The 22,294-nt window shown below is 47.9% G+C and overlaps 2 long non-coding RNA genes across 2 annotated transcripts; one reads left to right on the top strand and one right to left on the bottom strand.

The window, feature by feature from the left end:
* Positions 1–575: 575 nt before the first annotated feature.
* LOC441179 (uncharacterized) lies at positions 576–3,295 on the bottom strand. The gene has a single exon (NR_149041.1). It is a non-coding gene; the product is annotated as an uncharacterized LOC441179 (long non-coding RNA).
* On the top strand, positions 1,965–14,287 carry LINC01558 (long intergenic non-protein coding RNA 1558). The gene is made up of 4 exons (NR_026773.1): positions 1,965–2,215; positions 7,731–7,877; positions 11,217–11,510; positions 13,328–14,287. It is a non-coding gene; the product is annotated as a long intergenic non-protein coding RNA 1558 (long non-coding RNA).
* Positions 14,288–22,294: the final 8,007 nt, after the last annotated feature.

The following is a 22,294-nucleotide window of genomic DNA, read 5'->3' as shown; positions in this document are numbered from 1 at the left end:
TCTTCACACTTCTCCTGTCTCGCGTCACTACCCTTTGATAGCATTGGGGAGGGACTTTTGCTATTTCCATGTTACAAATGGGTCACGCAGGCACCCGGAACTCGAGTAACTAGCCCATGCCTGCGAAGCTCCCACCTGGAGTGGGGGACTAGAGCCAGATCACCAGACCCAAAACTGAGGCCTTGAGGAGGAGACTACGAACGTGGCGGTGGAGATGTTTATCTCTTCACAGCGGCTGAGTTGTCTCTACTTTATGGGCTGCGAATACTTTCTGGCTTGTCATCTAGGAATCTCTTGGCATCTTTTTACCAAGTTTAATATCACAGAGCTATAAGGCTTAGAAGACCTCAGAGGCCATTACAGCCAACCCCCAGACTCCTATTCTGCATCCAAATTAGTGATAACACGTTATATAATTCCATTAAAAAAACCCAACCAACGAACCTTTTAGTACCTTCCTAAAAGAAGAGTTTTTCTTGAACACGGTGCTAACTAACCAATTTGATTGAAACCACCCGATATTTTGACATGGTAAAAAGCATATTGTGTAATAGAAATACAATGAGAGTCACATATGTGATTTAAAATTTTATTGAGCCATATTAAAAAAGTAAAAAGACACACACTCTTCTCGTGCGACACAGAACCGGGACCCCCGTACAGAACATTTTACTGTTTTCCCTTAATACCCAGGAAACATGCACTAACCTGGTAAATACCTGCTTCATGGAGAGTAGTCTTTCAGGATTCATACCCTCAGGACATTGTTGGGGACCTACTGGACTGAACAAAGGCGGGCAACACGGGAATAAAAGACAAGAGACAACAGAGTATATTTGGAAGAAGGGGTTAGGGGCACCTTGCCTTTAGTGGACAAGGGCCCTGAGCTTTACACAGCCCTCCGTATTTATTAGGCAAAAAGAGATAGCGAGAAAGCTGGGGGAGGGGGGTGATTGTCAGTCTGCCGTTTGGTTCACAGTAGTCTTGCATTTTTTGGACAATAGGCACTAGATTTTTTAGGCAGATAACTTTAAGGAGCCCGGAGCTAGGGAGTGATGTCTGTTAGCAAACCTTTTGGTGGCAGGGCAGTGTGAGTTTGCCCACATCCTGCATTCATGATAAACAGTTTGCTGTTTGTAGCCTCCAGCGGAATGCTGAGTTGGTCACGTCCCCCACGGGCCTTCGGCTCCCTGCAGGACACCACCGCCTAGACATTTGCCCACATTTGCTGACCTACACGCAGACACTCTGGCTGGTCTAGACACTCAGGGCCTTTACTCCGGCTCCCGCCAGAGGCCTGAGAAATCCACACCTCACTGATAGCTCCATAGCTCACCAGCGTCCGTGGTGAGCCAGTTTCCTTGGCGGCAGCATCCTCCGCCTTGGGAGAGGCCGTGGGGACCGTACTGAAGAAACTGCCACTCCGAGGCATTGCTCCGTGCTGGGCACTGCCATTGAGAAGTGCACCTAAGCGGCCACCAGTGAGCGACGACCACGCATGAACAGGAATGTTCTAGAGCGGAATGCACCTATGAAGGCTGAGGCCTGCGCGAGAACCTGCACCTGGAAGCCACCCTGACACGCTCCTCCCCTCGGGGCAACGTCCACCTCCTCGCTGTAGGGTGGGGAGGATGCCGCTGCTGCTGTGGACGGGGAGGGCCAGCGCGTGCGCCGCGGCCAGGGAGCCGTAGAAGCTCAGTCCCATCCGCCTTTCTCATGCCCCTTCCCTTTCCCGTCCTCCCTCCTCTCCTCTCACCTGCGTGGTAACAACGATTGTGACACTCGGTTTTCTTAAGAGGTGCACGTGATTCATTTTTAAAATTCCCTCAAAAGAACGTTTTCTTGAATTGAAACTAATGATCAAACAGAAGCTAGGCCGGGGGCAATGGCACCACCCTCTCTGCTTCCCTCAGTTCCACTCCCCTCCCCGCCACGCCCCACCTTCCTGCTCAGTGTGGGCTGGGGCGGGCAGCAGGCAGGACACGTGGAAACGCAACCGCCAGGAGGAAAGGCGGGACACAGCGGGAAGGGAGGTTTGCCTCCCCTCTCTTCCTGTGGTGACCCCCACCTCACTTACAAAAATCACCACCGACGTTTGGGAACCGTGCACGCCGACTGAAAGCAAAGCTCAGCTGACCTGCGAGGAGTCCCCGGGGAGCTGCCGCGGTGGTCGCCGTTGAGTCCGTCCGTGCCGCTGGGGCCGAGGCAGCTGGAGGTGAGCAGGTGCGGGCGGTGCGGCCGGATGGAGCCCACCAGCAACCGGGTGGAGGAGCCCGCAGCTCTCCCAGCTGCTGCCTAGCTGCTCCCTGCCCTGTTTTGAATTAGCGGTAGCAGAAAGAAACGGCGGAGCAGCGGCCCTCGGTGCCCAGAGGCCTGGCAGTGCAGTGCATCCTCTCCTTGTGCTGCAGGAGGTCAGAGCCAGCCAGGGAGGCAACTGCCTGCTTGGTCTGCCGGTGTCCAGACCGTATCCAGAGAGGGCGTGGCTGGATCTGAGAAAAGGCTGGCACCGGCCAGACTGGCAGTGGCTCAGTCCTGCCTGGCAGGAGCATCCACGGACTGGCTGGCCAGAGTGCAGGACAGCTGCCCAGGTTCCGCCTGTTCCACAACGTTCTATTCGCAAGGGGCCAGGGGCACTGCCCGCCTGGCCAGGTCTGCTGTGTAGAGGCGTGCAGGTGGCCAGTGACTGGCTGGGCTCCCGGGGCTGCTGCCTTTGCTCTGGGAAGACCACAGATGCCTCCTCTTGCGAGGGGCCTTCTTGTGTGCCGCTTGTTGGGAGATGTGGCCCACCTGCCTCGGGGCGGCTCCTGCAGGGTGGATCTCTGGCCACCCGGCCAGCTGAGAGGTGTCTCAGGGCTCACTCCGAAGCCTTGGCTTGGCTTTGTTCTCATTTCTTCTTTTGACCTCAAACAGGCCACGGTTCATGACTCTCTCAGGAAGGGATTTTATCTCCATCACTTGCAACTTCTTGGAGCTGAAGTCTGCACAGCACTGTGGAGATTGTCAGATCTGCGTGGACAAGGGAGGGCAGGCCTGGTGGTTTGGAGAAGTAGGGCTATGCCAGAGTGAGGTGGCACGGGGTGCAGGCGGCTTCTTTGAGGGGGACCCGGGGAAGCAGGAACAGGAAAGCCAGCTAAACTGCAACCTCAGTCCCCGTTGAAGACAGCAGGGCCTGAGGCAGCTGCACCCAGACGTCTCCGGAGTTCGTGTTGGTCCAAAGGAGGGAGGCTGGGTGGAGACTCACCTGCTGCAGTCCCCATGGGCTGAGTGTTGTGGAGCTGTCGGCTCCCTTTGTTCGGGGGTCTGTCCAAGCCTGGGCAGCGAGCTTCCTCGGCCTGGGAGGAGCCCACGAGGGGGACGCGGGAGGAGGGCACTGCCCCTCATTCGCTCCGGATGCTTGTCTCATTAGCCGTCAATTCACAGAGAGCAGTTTCCAGTAGAACAATTCCAGAAAAAACCAGAGCCACCACCAGGGCCTGTGTGTTTCATTCCTGACCTGGGGAAGGTAGCAGAAGCTTTCAGCAGCAACTATTCAAATAACCACCTATTTAACACATGGACCCGTGAATGGCGGCCCTGGGTGCTTTGTCCCATTGTTTTTCTTCTTTCCTCTCCCCCATTTCCTTCCTCTCTTCCCCCTCAAAAACACACGTGTGCATAAACATTTGCATACCTCAGCCACACCACCAACAGCTTCTCCATGGGCTGGGGTCTCTGCCTTGTCGAAATGATATTAATAAATGATAAAGCCAGGGTCATCTCTATCTCTCATCTATCTCTATCTATTAATTATCTATCTATCTATTATCTATCTCTATTAACCTGTTATCTATCTACCTACTAACTACCTACCTATCCACATCTACTGTCTATCTATACCTAAGTTCATTATCATCATTATCTACCATCTATCTGTCTCTATTAACCTATTATCTATTTATCTATCTCTCATCTGTCCATCCATCATCTTGCTGACGTTAGCTCTGGGACTCCTCAAGCCTGTGTGTGATGATGAGCGATCATCCAGCTGTTTGACACTATGATTCTAGTGAATTTGCATTGGGCAACAAATGTTTGGATGAGCACACGAATAAACACTATTTATTTGCTAAGTGTTGTAGGGAGCCTGCCTTAAAGAACCTTATCCATGTGAAACCAAGACGTCCCACCCTCCCCTTGGCAGGGCTGTTATATGACAACTCTCTGCAAAGGCCACCTCCCAGTGTGGTGGGAACCAGGGCCAGTCCCACACATGTGCACATTCTCCAGGTGGCGTGCGAGGCTGCTACGCTTGCAGGAGGGCTCTGAGGTGGCCGTGTGCCCGGACCTCTGCAGAGGCTACGGTGACAGAGGGCTCAGCAGAGTTACCTTCCACTGTGCACAGGAAGGAATGTGCCCTGAGTGCTGAGCTAAAGAGGAATACAGGGAGGTTTTCACCTGCGCCGGGCCCCTGTGCCACTACCATCTATTCATTAACAGATGTTTATTGAGCAGCGACTATAATTCAGGCGTTGTGTGCGTGATGGTAGCAAAACAACAGGGGAAGAAAGTCCATCGCCTCTCCCTTCCTGGAGCTTCCATATTGGTGAAGGAGATGGAAAGTAAAATGAAAAGCAAATATAAAATTACATATTTTACTATGTGCAATGAAAAAATATAAAGCGTGTGGTGACAGAGAATGGCAGGGAATGGATACTTAGTGTCATCAAGCAAGGATTTCAGAAGAATGCATCAACTTGGGGCTTGTGAGAATTAAAGACAGTTTTCGAAGCACTGAAGTGAATGAATTAATTTGGGCATAGGGGACTGGGACAGCTAGAGGGGTCTCAGAATCACACTCTGTGATGTGAGCAGGAGAAAATCCACCAGAAGCATGATGATGACTCCCAGGCTCTAGTTGGATCTTCTGGAATTTGAACAGAAACCTCAACAATTTTCTTTTGAAACTCTAAGATGCTCCATGTGAGGAGGACTTTTGGGCAGGTTCTTATCAAACATTATTTCAAGTACCATCATAAAATAAAGGAAACTGTGGCCTCCGTGGAGGCAATAAAGCGTCAATATTTCAGCAGTTATTCACACGCTTGTTTACACTGAAACCTGCTCCATCGACAGGTGGTAGAATCATTGTCAGGCTGGGCTCACAGACGTTGGTGTTACCAGGCGTAGGTTATCAACGCCCATGCCCAGAGGCCCTGGAAAACGGTGACCGAGGATGAATTAAAGGAAATTACACCAACAGGGCAACATGCCTGACATATTTCCAGAAACAGAAACAAAAGGATCTGCATAGCTAGGCCAGACCACAACACCATCTTGTAGAAGCACATCAGCCTCAAACCACTGCAGAAATGGACTTTGTACACCACACTTAGAAGAAGATATTCTTAAGGACTGTGTTTCAGTGTTAAACTTTACAGGCTAGGGAGATTTTTAAAAAAAATCATAATTCTTTGATTGTCTTTTTTTCAGCACAATGGTTTAAAATGATCCAGCTGGTTAGAAAAATGTCAGCATTGTCCTCACATGAAACATTGATCCACATGGGCACTGACACATTTCAGCTTCAATATTTGACATCAGATCAATCTTGCCTTCTCCTGCATTAGCAGCCCAATATTCAGGCCTGCAGACTGGAGGCTGCTGCACCTGGCTTTTTGCCATACGGGCTGACCCTCCCTAATTCAAAAACCTGGAATCCCAAATGCCCTGACATCTACAATGTTTAGAGCACTAACCTCATGCCACAAGTGAAACATTCCACACCTGACCTCATGTATTAATCTGTTTCCATGCTGCTGATAAAAACATACCCAAAACTGGGAAGAAACAGAGGTTTAGTTGGACTTACAGTTCCACATGGCCGGGGAGGCCTCAGAATCATGGCGGGAGGCAAAAGGCACTTCTTACATGGTGGCAGCAAGAGGAAAATGAGGAAGAAGCAAAAGCAGAAACCCCTGATAAAGCCATCAAATCTCATGAGACTTATTCACTATTAGGAGAACAGCACAGGAAAGACCGGCCCCCGTGATTCAATCACCTCCCCCTTGGTCCCTCCCACAACATGTGGGAATTCTGGGAGATACAATTCAAGTTGAGATTTGGGTGGGGACACAGCCAAACCATATCACCTCATGTGACAGGTTGCAGTCACAATGTAACCAAAATTTCATTACATTTACAAACTATTAAAAATATTGTATAAAATTACCTCAGGCTATGTGTATATAAAGCATGAATTTATTTTGTGTTTCAACTTGGGTAGCATCTCCAAGATGTCTCATTATGTATACGCAAATATTCCAAAATACGAAACAATAAAACACTCAAAACACTTCTGGTACCAGGCATTTCGAATAAGAGAGACTCCACTTGTACCAGCTCCGTATCCCACGGCTTTTGCAAAATCTCTATGACCTGGTGCTAAGGGACCTTTTGGGTTTAAAGCACTGCTTGTGTTGCTGATTCTGAAAGGGTTAAAGGGAGAGTAATCATTGATGGTGTCCCACAGCCATGCCCGCAGCCTGTCAAGCACAGGGAGGTTGAGAGAGAGAGCGGATTGGTCCAGGCGCAGCCACCCCTTCACTACCAAGCGTGCACTCATCCCAAGAGCCGCCACCCCGCACCCGCCAGGAACTGATCAGGAAGGAACAAGAAGGACATGGTTCTGTCCTCAGGGAACTTGGGGATAAATAACATATGCAATTAAGATGTAAGACAAAATATATTCGTATAAAGTGCAAAAACACAGGCACATCACTCTCTGCCTTCAGAAGTGAGGGTGCCAGAGCTTGGTGCCTGGGAGTGGCCCGCAGAGGGTTCAGGGCTGCTGTGTGTTCAGGTTGTTCATCTGGCTCTGCTGATGAGGCTGAGTGCAGGCTGTGAAAATTCATCAAGCTGATACTTTAAGTGTACTTTCTGTATGTATGTTCTATTTCCATAAAAAGGGAGAAGTGAAAAAAATTAATGAGAAAGAAGGCTTGAGTTACAAAATCAGAAATTTCATCAGCTAGTCTACCTCTCTGCCGCCTTCTTCTCTGCCTGGGGTCTCTGCCAGAGTGGGCAGCACAGGAAGCTGCTGGACTCTAGGTGCCTTGCCGCCCTCAGAAACTCCACATTTCACAAAATGGTCAGATGCCAATGCAAATTAATGACGTAAGTTTATGTTGCTAAAATGATGACCCCAGGCAAAATAAACTCTTGCTTAATCCATGCTTTTTCTGGCAGCTTCACTTACCAAGGCTCCAGGTGACGCTGGGGTGTGCTGCTGGCCACTCACCTCACATGCTGCCCAGGCTAAGCTTGGATCCCCGGCTGCCCCCAGACCCCACGTGCTGTTGCCTGTACTGGGGCCGCCCCATCACCTGCTTGGTGCCCTGGTGCTCAGGGCCAGAGCTGGTTCAACTTCTGTATCACTGTGATGTATTTTCCTTCAGCTTTTTGAAAACAAACTTTTCAAGAAGGAACTAAGATCACGCAGTGTTCCCAGCACTGGTTAATATTAGACTAACACCTGCCCCGTGGTACATTTGATTGAACTGTGTTGTGGGGGAGATAACTGTCCTCCCTAAGTTCCCTGAGGACACAGCCATGTCCTTCTTGTTCAGTTCCTGGTGGGTGCTGGGTGACAGCTCATGGGATGAGTGCCGTGAAGGCTGTGGTTGATGGGCTGATGAAGGGGTGGCCGTGCCGGGACCCACCTGTCCTCCCCTCCTTCTCCCTGTGCCATGCAGATGTGGTCAACGGGCTGATGGGCACGGCTGTGGGACCCCATCATTCCCCTGCCCCGCATGACTCTGCTCTCCCAGCTCGACTGCTCACTTCAGACTTCCCTTATGGAAGGAGTTGCCAGATAGAGCAAGTAAAATACAGTGTGCCAGGTAAGTGTGCATTTACAATGACCATGGATTATTTTTTGGCATAATCTAATACATGGTAGTAGAGTAGGGTTGTATATAGTGTTATCTCAATCTAGTATAAGTTAAGAAATTATCTGTGGTTGATTGAAGTTCAGGTGGACCCAGGTGCCCTGTATTTGCCTGCTGCATGCTAGGGTACTGCCTAGCACACTATGCTGGGCCAATGTGTGTGTGTCTTAAGGGAAGGGCAGCTTTTCATCGTTCAACTCCCTGAAATTTTTTTAAGGGAGAGGGGACCAAAAAAACCCTTCATTCCCTCAAGTGAAATGTCTCACCCACTGCAATGGCGATAACTCGGAGGGTGAGTGGAATGGATGGAAACCCTTGAAGAGCAGATAAGAATTTAGGTGGAGGGTCCTTTGCTCTCTCAGGCAGGTTGGTGGATGCATGGGCTTTGGGCAGATGCCTGAAGCGGGGTGGATGTCCTGAGTAAGAGAGAGTAGGGTGGGTGGTGGGGGGTAGGGGCAGATGGTGAGGGGTAGGTGTGGATTATGGGGGGTAGGGGAGGATGGTGGGGGGTAGGGGAGGATGGTGAGGGGTAGTATTGGGTGATTGAGATGGGGTGGATGGTGAGGGGTATGGGTGGATGGTGAGGGGTATGGGTGGATGGTGAGGGGTATGGGTGGATGGTGGGGAGATGGATGATGAGGGGTAGGATTGGATGGTGGGGTTGGGGAGGATGGTGAGGGGTAGTATTGGGTGGCTGAGGATGGGGTGGATGGTGAGGGGTGGGGTGGATGGTGGGGAGCAGGGGTGGATGGTTGAGTGCAGGGGTGGATGACGGGGTATGGGGTGGACGGTGAGGGGTAAGGGTGGATGGTTGAGTGCAGGGGTGGATGGCTGAGTGCGGTGGTGATGGTGGCATGCAAGGGTGAATGGCAGGAATGGATGGTGTATTGTGGGGATGGATGATGGGGGTGGGGGTAGGGGTGGGGGGTGGTGTAAGGGTGGCTGGTTTAGTGCAGAGGTAGATAGTGGATAGTGTGCAGGGGTGGATGGGGGCATGGGGGTGGATGGTGGCATGCAGGGGTGGATGGGGAGGGTGAGGCTTGCATCTCTGGTGAGCCTTGAGTGAGACTGGAGCCTGTGGGTTGGAGCTGCTTCATCTACAAGGAGACAGGAGAGTTTTGTGTGGTGTTGACATTGCTATTGTATTATTCTGCCTGGGTTGCTGTCTGTGGACTGGGTAGTTTCAGCTTAAACCACATACATTGATTCCTCACAGTTCTGGAGGCCGGAAGTCCGAGATCCAGGGGGCAGCAGGCAGATTGCATTTTGAGGCTTCCAGACTTGCCCAGCAGCCCCTGTCCCTCTATGCTTGTGTGCCGAGACAGCAAGCTCTCTGGTGGCTCCTCTTATACGGACAGCAATCCTATTGGCTCAGGGACCCACCCTTATGACCCCGTCTAACCTTAACGACCTCCTTACAGGCCCCTGCTCCATGCTGAGGGGTGGGGCTTCCCCTGGGAATTTGCAGGGTGGGAGTGCACAGTTCAGTCCATAGCAACTGTTGAGTAGAAGTTTCTGAAATACTTCTGTCCATTTTCAAAAGCTATCTCACAAGCTCTATACTACATATTCCCTGACTTCAGAGGTTTAGTTTCTAGTTGGAAAAACAAAAGTAAACATCAAAAATAAAAAGAAAGAAAAAGGAAGGAAGGAATGAAGGAAGGAAGGAAGAAGAAAGAAAGAAAGAAAGAAAGAAAGAAGCACAAAGGAGCTACCCTGAAACTCAGAACTATATTTTATTGTTAGGACATTTTAAAGTTTGGATTTATCAATCTGGAACATAAGTGTACAAATCATTTTATCTAATTAATCTTATTCACTTACATCTTCATCCTATTTATTGAATTTTTAAAAAGTAATGTTGTATTTCTCTTAATATATTTTGTAATTCAGATTTTAATGAATTAGATGAGGCTTACTAGTGTAATTCTAAATTAATGAGGTTTGGTTATAATTTGCTTTAGTCACATGTGAAAGTAGAGAATGAGGGAAAAGTAGGTATCTCTAAATCAAGACATTTTTACAATCATGATAACTATCCAGTTGAATCATCTTATTTTGTAGACTTGGAGACTGAGTGTACAAAGGGTTAAGTGACATGCTGAAAACTCATTCATTTGTGCATAAATATTTATTAAGTGTCTCCTCGGTGCCAAGCATTATGCTGTATGCTAATAAAGCTAAGCCTGGCTCAAAAAGCCAGGCCTTGGATTCTATAATAAATCCAAGGTTCTTTCTTCTGTTTGTCTTCCTAAGGCTCTTTGTTTAACTTGTTACAAATTAGACCAGCCTCTCCAGCAGTTGCCACCAAATTCTAAAAGAGAATCCGAAACACTCTGCCTCGTCCTACCTTGGGATGCTTGTTGACACGGTCTCTGTCTTTGTGCATGGCCGTGAGAAGTCTCTCTCGGTCACATGAGGACAATTAGCCTTGCTTCAGCAAGGGCACCACAGCATACTGGGTCCCCAGATGGTGAGACCTGAATGCGCAGTGTCCCCACCCCACCCCCCGGCCCCGTGGGCGTTCCTCCGTGGCTTCGGGAGGCTCTGACTCAGGATAGTAAAAGAAGCTCTAGCCGCAAAGGCGTCGCGACAGCAGCCTCCAGGCTTTAGTTACACCCCCCCCACCAGTGCGGAAGAAGACATTCTTCAAATTTATAAATTATAAGAAATCAGAAAATGAAAAGATCAAAATGCTAAATAAACTGGCGTTAAGGAGCTCTCGCTCTGCTCTTGCGCGTGGTAGTGGTGAGAGCGGGGCATCCGAGAGCCCTAGAGCTGGTGACTGGGCGACCTCAGCCTAACACCTGCCTTTGAGCCTGTATCCTCGCCAGGTGGCTGGAAGAGTAACTGATGGGGATTGGGACAAAGGTCCCCACAGGTGTCTTCTTAGTTTATATTCATTTCCTCATTCCAAGAGTGCTATTTTAGGGCATTTAAAAGTGAAATGGTTCTAATAAGATAAAATTACATTTCCATGTAGACAGAAACAAATTTAATGGAATTTTGTTAAATTGCACCATTATTAAATGTTGAACAAACACCCATTGATGGCCACAGTGCAGCAAGTACTCCGGCAGGGAGTACCAGATACACGGAAACGGATTCTACATTCAAAGATGTCACAATCTCGAAAGGGAAGTAGATCATCTATGCAACTCGTAATCATGGGTGGAAAACGGAACATGTTTGCAGAGAAATATAAGAAAAGCATCCTAATAGTTCATAGGAAAAGTCAGACAAATACCAAATTACAAATGAATTCTGTCTTGTTTTTGTTTTCTTTTGCAGACACAGGTTTATTTCAACACTGGGAAGGCTCCATTCCTACTTAAACCCAGCAGGGAACAGGGAGCGGTGTGCAGAGGAGGTGGCCTGCCCGGGAAGCCGGCCTTGGTGCTGGGACTGCAGGGAGAGGGCTGTGAGGAAGAGCACAGGCTTCATGCACATTGCACAGAGGAGGAGATTCATGGGGACAGCAGGCACTGGTTAGGCACAGCGGGAAGGTTATCGAAGACAAAACACATTTCTACCCAAGTTTAAATGACCTGCTATGCCCACAGAGCTTGATCCAGAAGTGCACAGGTAAGTATTTAGCAGGCTGGCCGATGTTGATTTGAACAATCTCAAGAATGTGCTCTTTAGTGCATTAAACATATGTGACGAGAGCTGAGCACGTTTAAAATCTCAGTAACTTTGGGGTTTGTAAGTGTTGTAGCTCATAGTGTCGGTTAAGGTTAGACATCTCAGTCACATGCTGTCTTGGCACCAGCTGTGGACTGTGCTGTGAAAGAGATCTGTGACCTTGCACCCTGAGATCTCAGGCTCAATTAAGAGACAAAACAGGCAATGCAGTATCAGTGCAGATGGGAAAGAGAAAGCAGAAAGTATGAAGAGGGAAAGGAGGAGCACAAAGGAGTTAGCATTAGTCTCTACTGAGCAATTCCTATTCCAACCACGTCCTAAATGATGAGTTGGATCCTAGCAGAAAGGGAACACATGTTATTTTTAACTGATTTTAACTTGATTTATTGTAACCTATCAGGAGCTCTTAATAAATATGGCTCTTTATGTTGTTAGCAAGTGTGTTTGATTTTTGCCACTCTAGGAGGTGAGCTCTGTCCATGTTTTCAGAGTAGAAAGTGATCTATGATACAATGAACTGTTTTTAGCTTCATGAGTTAGAAGTAGGAAGAGGAGAATGTATCAATTTGTTAACTGCCTTTTCCTGTTCAAAAAAAAGCTTTTTCAGCAAAACATAGTCCTTAAGTTTAAAAAGTCAGTGTTTATTATCTGACAGATATGTTTAAATTAGTAAAGAAAACATTACATTTTCATAAACATTGAATGAACATTATGTGAACATTGAGTTTAACTTTTGGTTGTCTCTTGGGAAATTTTTGTCAATTTGAAAAATGATGAAAAGCATCAATAAAAGATGCAAGCAATTGTGTAATCTCAATGTGCTACCGAAGTGGCTCTCTGCTTGGGTATGAGAAAAGCTATCAAAGGAAAATTTGATTTAAGAAAGGAAATCTAGGCCAGGAGCAGTGGTTCAGGCCTATAATTCCAGCATTTGGAGAGGTTGTAGTGGGAGGATTACTTTAAGCCATAAGTTTGAGACCAGCCTAGGCAACATAGTAAGACCTCATCTCTATAAAAATAAAATGGAAAGAAAGAAATGGAATCTAAAATAAAGAAAAACAATATTAATGGCATATCTTATGCCAGATTAAAGGCTTCATTTTGTACTTTTAAAAATTGCCGGCCGGGCGTGGTGGCTCACACCTGTAATCCCAGCCCTTTGGGAGGCCGAGGCGGGCGGATCACGAGGTCAGGAGATCGAGACCATCCTGGCTAACATGGTGAAACCCCGTCTCTACTGAAATACAAAAAATTAGCCGGGGGTGGTAGCTGTAGTCCCAGCTACTCGGGAGGCTGAGGCAGGAGAATGGCGTGAACCTGAGAGGCAGAGCTTGCAGTGAGCCGAGATCGTGCCACTGCACTCCAGCCTGGGCGACAGAGCAAGACTCCGTCTCAAAAAAAAAAAAAAAGGTGCCCTCTTTTTTCAAATGATAAATGTACTAATGTAGGGCAAAACACAATGAGTGTTTTCTGGATTTTGTTTCAATGTTTTGTACGCAGTAGAATTGGGATCATATGGCATATTGTTGGTTCTCAGTAGGGGGTATATCTAAAATATCAGTGAGCAGAACTTTTTTTTTTTTTTTTTTTTTGAGACAGAGTCTCGCTCTTTCGCCCAGGCCGGACTGCAGTGGCGCGATCTCGGCTCACTGCAACCTCCGCCTCCCGGGTTCACGTCATTCTCCCGCCTCAGCCTCCCGAGTAGCTGGGACTACAGGCGCCTGCCGCTGCGCCCGGCTAATTTTTTGTATTTTTAGTAGAGACGGGGTTTCACCATGTTAGCCAGGATGGTCTCGATCTCCTGACCTCGTGATCTGCCCGCCTCAGCCTCCCAAAGTGCTGGGATTACAGGAGTGAGCCACCGCTCCCGGCCCAGAACTTTTAATAAATATAAATACACAGGTAATTTTAACACATATTCCTGATGAAATCATTATTATCTGCAATGCTTTCATTCTGCTTTTTCTCTTAACAATGGCATAAACATTTTTCAAGGTCAATAAATGTTTTTCAAAATCGCATTTGTATTAGTGGCTGTATAGTTTTCTATCAAATGTGGAATAAACTCAATTTATTTCTCCCTTTTGTTCTTGAACATTTAAGATCATTGGTTCATAGTTACTAATCATGTTACAACAAATATTCATGTATTCCAAATTTTGCTCATTCCTGATTATTTCCTTAGATTTCCAGGTATGGAATAATTAGGTTGAAGTGTTTGAAATCTTTTTTTGTTGGTTTGTTTGTTTTTGAGATGTAGCTTCCCTCTGTTGCCCCGGCTGGAGTGCACTGGCATGATCTCAGCTCACTCACTGCAACCTCTGCTGCCTGGTTCAAGCGATTCTCCTGCCTCAGCCTCCTGAATAGCTGGGGTTACAGGTGCGCACCACCACGCCCGGCTAATTTTTGTATTTTTAGTAGAGACAGGGTTTCATCATGTTGGCCAGGTGGGTCTCAAACTCCTGACCTCAGGTGGTCCTTCTGCCTTGGCCTCCCAAAGTGCTGGGATTACAGGCGTGAGCCACTGCGCCCGGCCGAAGTGTTTGAAATCTTTAAGCATCCTGGTAAATATTGAGTTTTGTCAATATTTAGAAAAGTTGCATGATTGACATCGCTTCCACCCATGTTTCAGAGCATCTGATTTGTCAGACCCTCACCAAAAATGGGCTTTTATCAAAATGTAATAAAAAATAAATACAACTTTTCCAATGACAAAACTGGTTTCTCATTTTTTTGATACATGTTTCTTGAATTCTAGAGAGATTGAATATTATGAATATGTTTTCTGTTATATCTTTTATATTAATATAAATGTTATATATTTACATATTTTTAATGAGTTGGCAATTATGCCCTGGCTTCATTTTTTTTCTCATGGGAGTTATCTTTTTTACTTACTGATTGTTAAAATAATCAAATATTCTAGAAAATAAATGTTTTGTTTTTCATGCATAGTGCAAGTATTTCATTTGGACTTTTCATTTGTTTGTAATTTTGTTAATTGAAGTTTGGCATCTAGAGATTTTACACTTTTAGGTATAAAAGTTGTGACTGTTTTCCTTATTGTTTCTGTCTTTGCTTTTGTATTATTTATAAAAAAAAATAGGCCTTCCTCATCAAAAGATTATATAAACATTCACTGAAATTTTTTTGCATCTGTTTCCTTGTAGGCTAAACATATATCATCTCCTCATAGTTACTGATGAAATGATGTTCTTTCTGGGAGGTCCTTGGAGTGATTGATGTGCTTCCAGTTGTGACACTGGACAGAATAGGCTTTTTTGGGGGAACGCAGCACAGGACTTGCTTTGACTTCATTCATGCTGAGTGCCTGGTGCAGGCATCTTGAAGGTTAAGTGTATGCAAACATTTTGAAAATGGTAATATTTTTCAAAGGATTCAGTTATGAGCAAGGCCTTAGATAAATGGGAAAATTGGGAAAGCATTTTAGATGGGGTGTAAATTTTGAGGAGTAGATTCAAAGCAGCATACATTATTTCAAAAAGAGTCATTTTAGCTGTTGACTGAAACTCTTGGAGGTAAGAAGCAATTATGAAATATCTCTGCACTTACAACTTGGCATTCAATAGAAGGTGAAAACTTGCTTAGATATTGATAAAGACTTCTTTATCAGAGACTTCCATTGGAACAGATGTCAATTCCTTCCATTCCTTCCATTGGAACAGGTGTCAATAATATTCCAGAATGGTTAAAGTTACTGCTGAAGGTGACACTAAGTGCAGCAACATAGGCAAAATTTAGCCCAAATTATCCCTTGTTATTAAAGAGGACAGACCTACCTTCCTTCCTTCCTTCCTTCCTTCCTTCCTTCCTTCCTTCCTTCCTTCCTTCCTTCCTCTCTCTCTCTCTCTCTGTCTCTCTGGATTGTTTGCCCTTCAGGTTCCAGATGAACTCCAGAGCTTTGCTGGGGACACTGAGTGGCAGTCTCTGCTGGAGACTGGAAGCTGTTAAGCCACAGTCACCTGTCCAGAAGCTGGGAAATGAGCTGGTGGTGCCTGAGCACATTACCTACTTGACAATTACATTACAATGAATATTTTTAAACATTCAAAGATGAAATGTTAAAAATGCCAATTAGAATAATTTCAAAAGTTCTTAAGTCAGTGGCTGGTAGAAGACCAAAGTGCAGGCAAACCTTTCTGCACCATGGACTAGACACAGGAGGGAGGCAAGTCCCAAGTGACTGCACAAACATTCTCCTGTCATAGAGCGCTGCTGTGGACATGGAGAGCAGGTGTGTAGACAGAAAAGGGTATTTTCCCTCCTCTGGCCCACTGAGGGCCTGAAGAGGCTTCACTGGGACTGAAGTTTCCAGAGGGAGAAGGAATTCTGTCTCCAGTTGGCCTTCGGACTCCAGACTGAAATATCAACTGTCATCTCCATCTCCAGGCAGCTGACCTGCCCTGTGGACTCCAGACTTGCCAGTTCCCCGAATCACATGAGCCCCGATTCCTCCCACTCTCTCTCTCTATCTCTGTATCTATATATCTCCTGTTGGCTCTGCTTCTCTGGAGAATCCTGACTCATACAAAACTGAATCACAAAAATGAAAAGGTAGATTCATTCGTGTAATCAGGAAAGTTGTAGAAGATGTTCTAGAGGACAGATCAGAGAAGTACCAAGAGTGGAAAAGGGCTTTGTGGCTCCTAGTAAGGTTCGTCAACCATCAGCATGGGTTTTACCTGGGAGGTTGTTTAAGACACAGATTGTCAGGCCCAGCCCACGTGCTTTCATATAATATGTGAGGGGCACTACTATAGCCCAGTCACTGCAAGTGCAGATGCTGGAGTCAGACCCCCACATCCCAGCTCCTCCCCTTCATGGCTGTTTAAGCTTGGCTGAGTTAGTTGCCTTCTCTGATGCTCAGGGTTCTCACCTATAAAGAATGTATCTTATTGCAAGGATTAAATTCCATTAGTTAATTTATGGATCTAGCCCTGCTTCAGAGACCTGTGCAGCCATCATCTGTTTTTATAATTTTGTAGGGCTAGGGAGGGTTGAGACAGGGAGCTGCCGCCCTGAGAACTCTCTTCTGTGGTGGGGATTTGCCGATCTGGTCAGTAGAGCAAAGACAGACTTAAGCCTGCAGAGCTCAGTGATTTATTCATCCAGCCACTTATGTATTCGCCAAGCTCTTGATGAGCCCCTACTAAGTGAAGGTGCTGCGTTACTCACTGCCATGATTCACAGATCTTTTACATACATCAGGCCAAATAGCCCAGCACAAAGATGTTGTCTGCATGGGCCCATTCGCATGCCTGGAAGGGAGAGCATCAGAAGCGATTTAATTTTGTGAGGTTTGATTCTTCTCATTCTCTACAAACAGTGACGACTAAGATCCCTGGTCTTTAAACCGGAGTGCCGTGGAGGCACCGACTAGGTGCAGGGATCCTTGGATGGAGATTCGTGGTTTTTTTTACTACCTCCTGGGATTCAGCAAGAAGTCCCTAACTTTTATCTGTGGGCATAAAAGAGAAAGAGCCTTTTGAAAGAGCATAACCGTTCCCATTGTTACGGTCCAGACCGACTCTGAGAGGTGCACCTTCTCTCTTCTGGATGTTCACCCTCGGGAGTAGTGGGTGGCTGTCAGGGCAGCTAATGCAGGCAATTTTCTTTACCTGTAGGGACATAAAGAAGGATGGATTGAGGTGGGCGTGAGCCTATGAGTGGAAAGGCAGGTGACTCATCAGCTCCCCGGGAAAACGTGATGTGTACAAGCAATTAAAGGTGCATTTGCAGCAAGTGGAGAAGGCAACCCGAATCTGCAGCTTGCATTCATTTCCAAGCATGAGGGGCATTGACAGGAGCCTCTAAACACCTTGAAGCTGTTCTTTTCATTCTAGAAAACAAATGGGGACGTGTATTTCCCTGAAAAGGTAACTGACAACCTTTAGTTTCCGATTCTTCCTTTGCCCACGTGTGACACAGCAACGGTGAGTGTGGGAGTGGACAGGCGGAGGGTGTGGCTTCTCCACCTGATGGCACATCACTGTGGGGAGGGCCTGGGCCTGGCTCTCCTTGTGAGTGCTCAGGCAAAGCTGGAGTCATTCTGTGGGGAGGGCAGGTGCAGGATGGGCTTTGAGAATCATTCAGGCCTTCTTCCTCTGTACGTGTGCTTTTAAAAGTATTAATTTATTTTTGAGACAGGGTCTCGCCCTATAGCCCAGGCTGGAGTGCAGTGGCACAATCGTGGCTCACTGCAGCCTTAAACTCCTGGGCTCAAGTGATCCTCCCACCTCAGCCTCCCGAGTGGTTGGGACCACAGGCATGCAACCACCACGCCCGGTTAATTTTAAATATTTTTTTGGAGAGATGGGACCTCACTGTGTTGCCCAGGCTCGAGCTTCTGGGCTGGCCTCAGCCTCCCAAAGTGCTGGGGTTCCACGTGTGGCTGCCACACCAGGACTTCCTCTGTGTTTTGACCTCTCAACTAGCTCTTTTCACATTCTCATTTTTACATTTGACAATTCAGGGACTTATCTGGTCTAATTTTATTGATTAGTAATTACCAGGATTATAAATTCACATCTTGATTGATAATGAGCTGAGTAGGAATGCATGCAGTTTTATGGTTGGGGTGGTTTGTGCATTTCTGCTAAGATTCATGTTCCACCACAGCAGACAAGGGGATGGCTGCTAGTGGACGGATAACCCAGAGCTGAGGTCTCTCCGCCGGCCCCTGCTGCTCAGCTATTCACAAACAGTCCCCGAGGGTAGGCTTGGTCAGCCTGGTGAGTGCCCAGTGTATGATGCCACCAAATACAGACCTCCTGCCTTAGGAAAACAGCCTGGGGAGGAGAAAGACCACTGGGGCTTAAAGGCTGCCTTGTAAGTGCATAGGAAAGCCCCTAGACCAGTCTTCGAAGGTCCGGAGGGCTCCGAGAGACGGTCGTGGCTAAGCTGAGATGTGAAGAGATGGTGTAGGCAGGCAGATGAGAAACACTGGGTGAACAGGCCATCTAAGCTTTGGGGGCAGCAGAAGATGAGCAGTGGGTGGTGGGCGTGGAGGTTCCTAGCCAGGACCCCCGGGAGAGTGAAGGAGGCCTGCGTGTGAAGAGGGGAGTGAGTCTCTCAGGAAACCCACAGCAGAAGGCCCAACGTCAGTCCAGACAGGAGGCTGGCCTTTTGCTACTAAAATTGTGACCATTTTTATGTTTTGAACTATCCTTTCCATTGCGTCTGCTGTGGCCTGAATGTGTCCACCAAGATTCATATGTGGAGACGTGGTCACCAGTGTGACGGTGCTGAGAGGAGGGACGTGCAGGAGGACTAGCTCCTTATTAGAAAGCGGCTCAAGGGGCGAGTCTGTTCCTTCCTCACCTCCTGCCATGTGAGGACGTGGAGAAGGTGCTGTCTGAGAGGAGCCGCCCCTGACCAGGCACTGAACCTGCCGGTACCTTGATCTCGGACCCGGCCTCCGGAGTGTGAGAATCAACGTCTGTTCTTCACAAATGACCCAGCCTCAGATATTTTGTTATAATCACATAAACAGGCTGAGACCTATTACTCACTGCACTGAGTTAAATCAATGCACCTGCCAGGCAGCTATTAATATTCCCATTCACCCAGAGTTTGGAGGGAGGCCCAAGTCAACCGTCAGCTCTTCATGGGTCCCTTGCTATAGGCCCCAGTGCAATTCCGAGTTCCCTGGGGACCCCGAGCTGCCAAGTCCCATGCCAGCCCTCGCAGTCACACTGCAACCTGGCTGTGAAGGAAGTGAAAGTGTATATTTTAAAAATTTGGGCATTTTTATATTTGTAAGATAACACCTTCAGTGTTGTCGGGGAGACAGACTGAATCTTAGGAAACCATTAGGCAGCAACACACAGAAACACAGTGCTGAAGCCCAGGGCTTGAGAGGATGCTGTGGTCCTTCCAGGGAAGGCCTCTCCCCCGGGGTCACAAAGACACGGGGGCATGCCCACTTGCCAGCCTCGCTCAGAGGCCACCTTCTCCAAGAAACTGTCTCTGCACCACGCCAGCCTCAAACACATATTTTCCGTCTTCCACAGCAACTACTATCTTTGCCACTTCTTTGGTATTAATCATTTTCTACCTTATATTAATGACAATTCTTTATATTACTTCTGTCTTTTCTGCTGATTTAATTCATTACCAGCTCTTTTAAGCCAGGGACCCCGCCTCATGTCTAGTCTACGTCCTGCACATCGGGGGCTCTTGGTCACTGCCCCAGGAACTAGAAGAGAGCGAGGCCTCCGGGCTTCGGAGGAGGTTGCAAGCTATGGCCGTGAGGAACCACAGGCCTCTTAGGAAGGGTGGGCCAGGCTGTAGCTACGCAATCCTGTGCAAACTGCTAGACTGTTCTGAGGCTGTTTTCCAGTGTGTGAAATGGGAACTGAGCTTGCCTGTCACATGTGGCTGAGTGTGGTGATCGGGTAAGGTAAGAGGCACTGCAGAGCTCTGGAGGCAGCGTTCTCACCATACACAGTGGACATTGCTATGGCTTTGCTTTGGTGGCTGGAGCCACGGCTTGGGGGAAAGGAGAGAGGCGTGGAAGAGGCTCGGAGGCGACCAAGCTCACACGGGAGCCAAGATCACATGGAAGTCTCCGGAACAAGACAAACAAGCTGGTGACCTGGCGTGGCCAGTAATTACCAGCCCGAGTGCATTCCTGAGCAGAGGAGGGCCGGCCAGGCCATGTCTGGGGAGGTGCGTCTGGCCGTGGCTTTGGGAAGCAGAAGAGGCTGGAGCAGGCAGGTGGGGGTGAAGGTGGGTGGGCCTAGGGGGGGATGTTAGGGACCTGCACCCAGGAGGGCAGGAGCTGCAGGATCCCAGGACGCTGGAGGTGCACTGGGACTCTTTTTGTTTGTTTTTTGAGACAGAGTCTTGCTCTGTTGCCCAGGCTGGAGTGCAGTGGTGCGATCTCGGCTCACTGCAACCTCCGCCTCCTGGGTTCAGTCGATTCTCCTGCCTCAGCCTCCCGAGTAGCTGGGATTACAGGGGTGAGCCACCACGCCTGGCTAATTTTTGTATTTCTTTAGAGACGGGGTTTCACCATATTGGCCAGGGTGGTCTCGAACTCCTGACTCAGGTGATCTGCCCGCCTCGGCCTCCCAAAGTGCTGGGATTACAGTTGTGAGCCACCGTGCCCAGCCTGGGGCTCTTATCTTATTGCAGTGACAGTGCTAGGGACAGCAACAGAGTGGAGTGGGAGTGTTTCCAAAAGTGAGATGGTAATGACTCTATGCGGATGACTCCAACTAGGGCAGCTGAATACAGCTTTGGAGCAAAGGAAAGCAATGTCACCTTGGCTGGCCTGGATGTTGTCGGAGACACGTCTGTCTCTTCATCAACAGATAATGACAGTGCGAGGCGACATTAGAAACACTAATTAATATTTGCACCACGCTCAGAGGGTTGTAGACAAGAGAACATTTGGAAAAGGCTCGTAGTCCTGAGTGCATGGTAAGCCTCATCCTCAGAAGTGGCTAGCTGTGAGGCCAGGGAGTTTAGTCTGCTGTTGTTTTTGACAGAATTGGGGACAGTCACATTACTCCTCCATGGCCAAGTTGATGTGAGCTTGCTTCTCAACCAGAATAAGCCCAGTTAAACAAAACTCACCCCTCACCAATCACTCATTTTATTTGTGCTGCATTTCTCGATGAAAGCTAGTTTAGACCAGCTCACGGGTACTTTTTGTTTGCTTGTTCTTGGCCTGTAAATCCAGGTTTTATTGATCAGGAGATGAAGGAAAATTATAGGGAAAGAGCTTCACTCGAAGCAAGAGGAATATAGGTTGGCAGAGATGAGGCGAGGCCAGGCGAGCCATGGGTGGGGTCATGGGTGGAGGCGGCACCAGATGTTTAAATGACTGCGGCAGATATTTCTCTCTCTGGGATTACCTCACTAACATTTCTGACTGCAAGCAGATTGATTCCAGATCTATGAAACCAAAATCAAAATGTAGGCAACTGCAGGGGGTAGGCAGGAGACGGTTAGTGTCATAGCTGGTGGCGTAGTTAACTCGCATTGATTTTGGGGAGGACACTTTTAAGTTCTTGAGTCTGAGCTGCATTTTCCCCATACTTCCGTTTCCCTTTCCCTTTCCCTGCACTCTCTGTGCTTTGGGGTGAGCTGCCAGACTGCCCTTTGCTCTCCAGCCTTAGGGATGAATGGCAGCCATGTCTATACTCAGCTCATTTGTTCTTTTCTCCTCGTCCTCCTTGGGCCAGGGGCCTCGGAACTCAGGGCTGGCAGAGCCTCAGAGCTGGTGCTTTTGCTGGAGAGGAAGTGGGGCTCAGGGGTCTGCTCTAAATGTGGTTACTTGTAGGAGTCAGGACTGCCGTCCTCATGGTCTGCAGAGTCCTGGCAGGTGGGGCAACATCGCTCTGGAAGTCCCGGAGCAGTGAGTGCCGGTCTGATGTGGAGACTGAGCGCCAGTCTCAGCCTTGAAATACCCCCTTGGGCTGATAAAAGCTCCCTGCTCCCCACCGGACTTCAACAAATCCCTCTACTTCCAGCAACTCTCCCACCTTCAGAAAGAATCCCAGCTGGTTTAGAAAGCCCCGCTCTCTAGCTCTCTAAAAAGGCCTTTCTTCTCCACTCTAAACAAAACCCTCATGCTGTTTGTGGGCCAAGCTGGGAACTCAATAATTGGGAAGAGAAATGTGTATGGCTCAGATACCACATGTCTAAATATTTAGACAGTTGAGAGGGATAGCAAGAAATCCCTCTTCTGTGTA

This window comes from Homo sapiens, chromosome 6, assembly GCF_000001405.40.
Source record: "Homo sapiens chromosome 6, GRCh38.p14 Primary Assembly".
In the NCBI taxonomy this organism is placed as follows: domain Eukaryota; kingdom Metazoa; phylum Chordata; class Mammalia; order Primates; family Hominidae; genus Homo; species Homo sapiens.
Note: the sequence above shows the minus strand (reverse complement) of the source record. Positions and strands in the feature narration are given on the sequence as shown.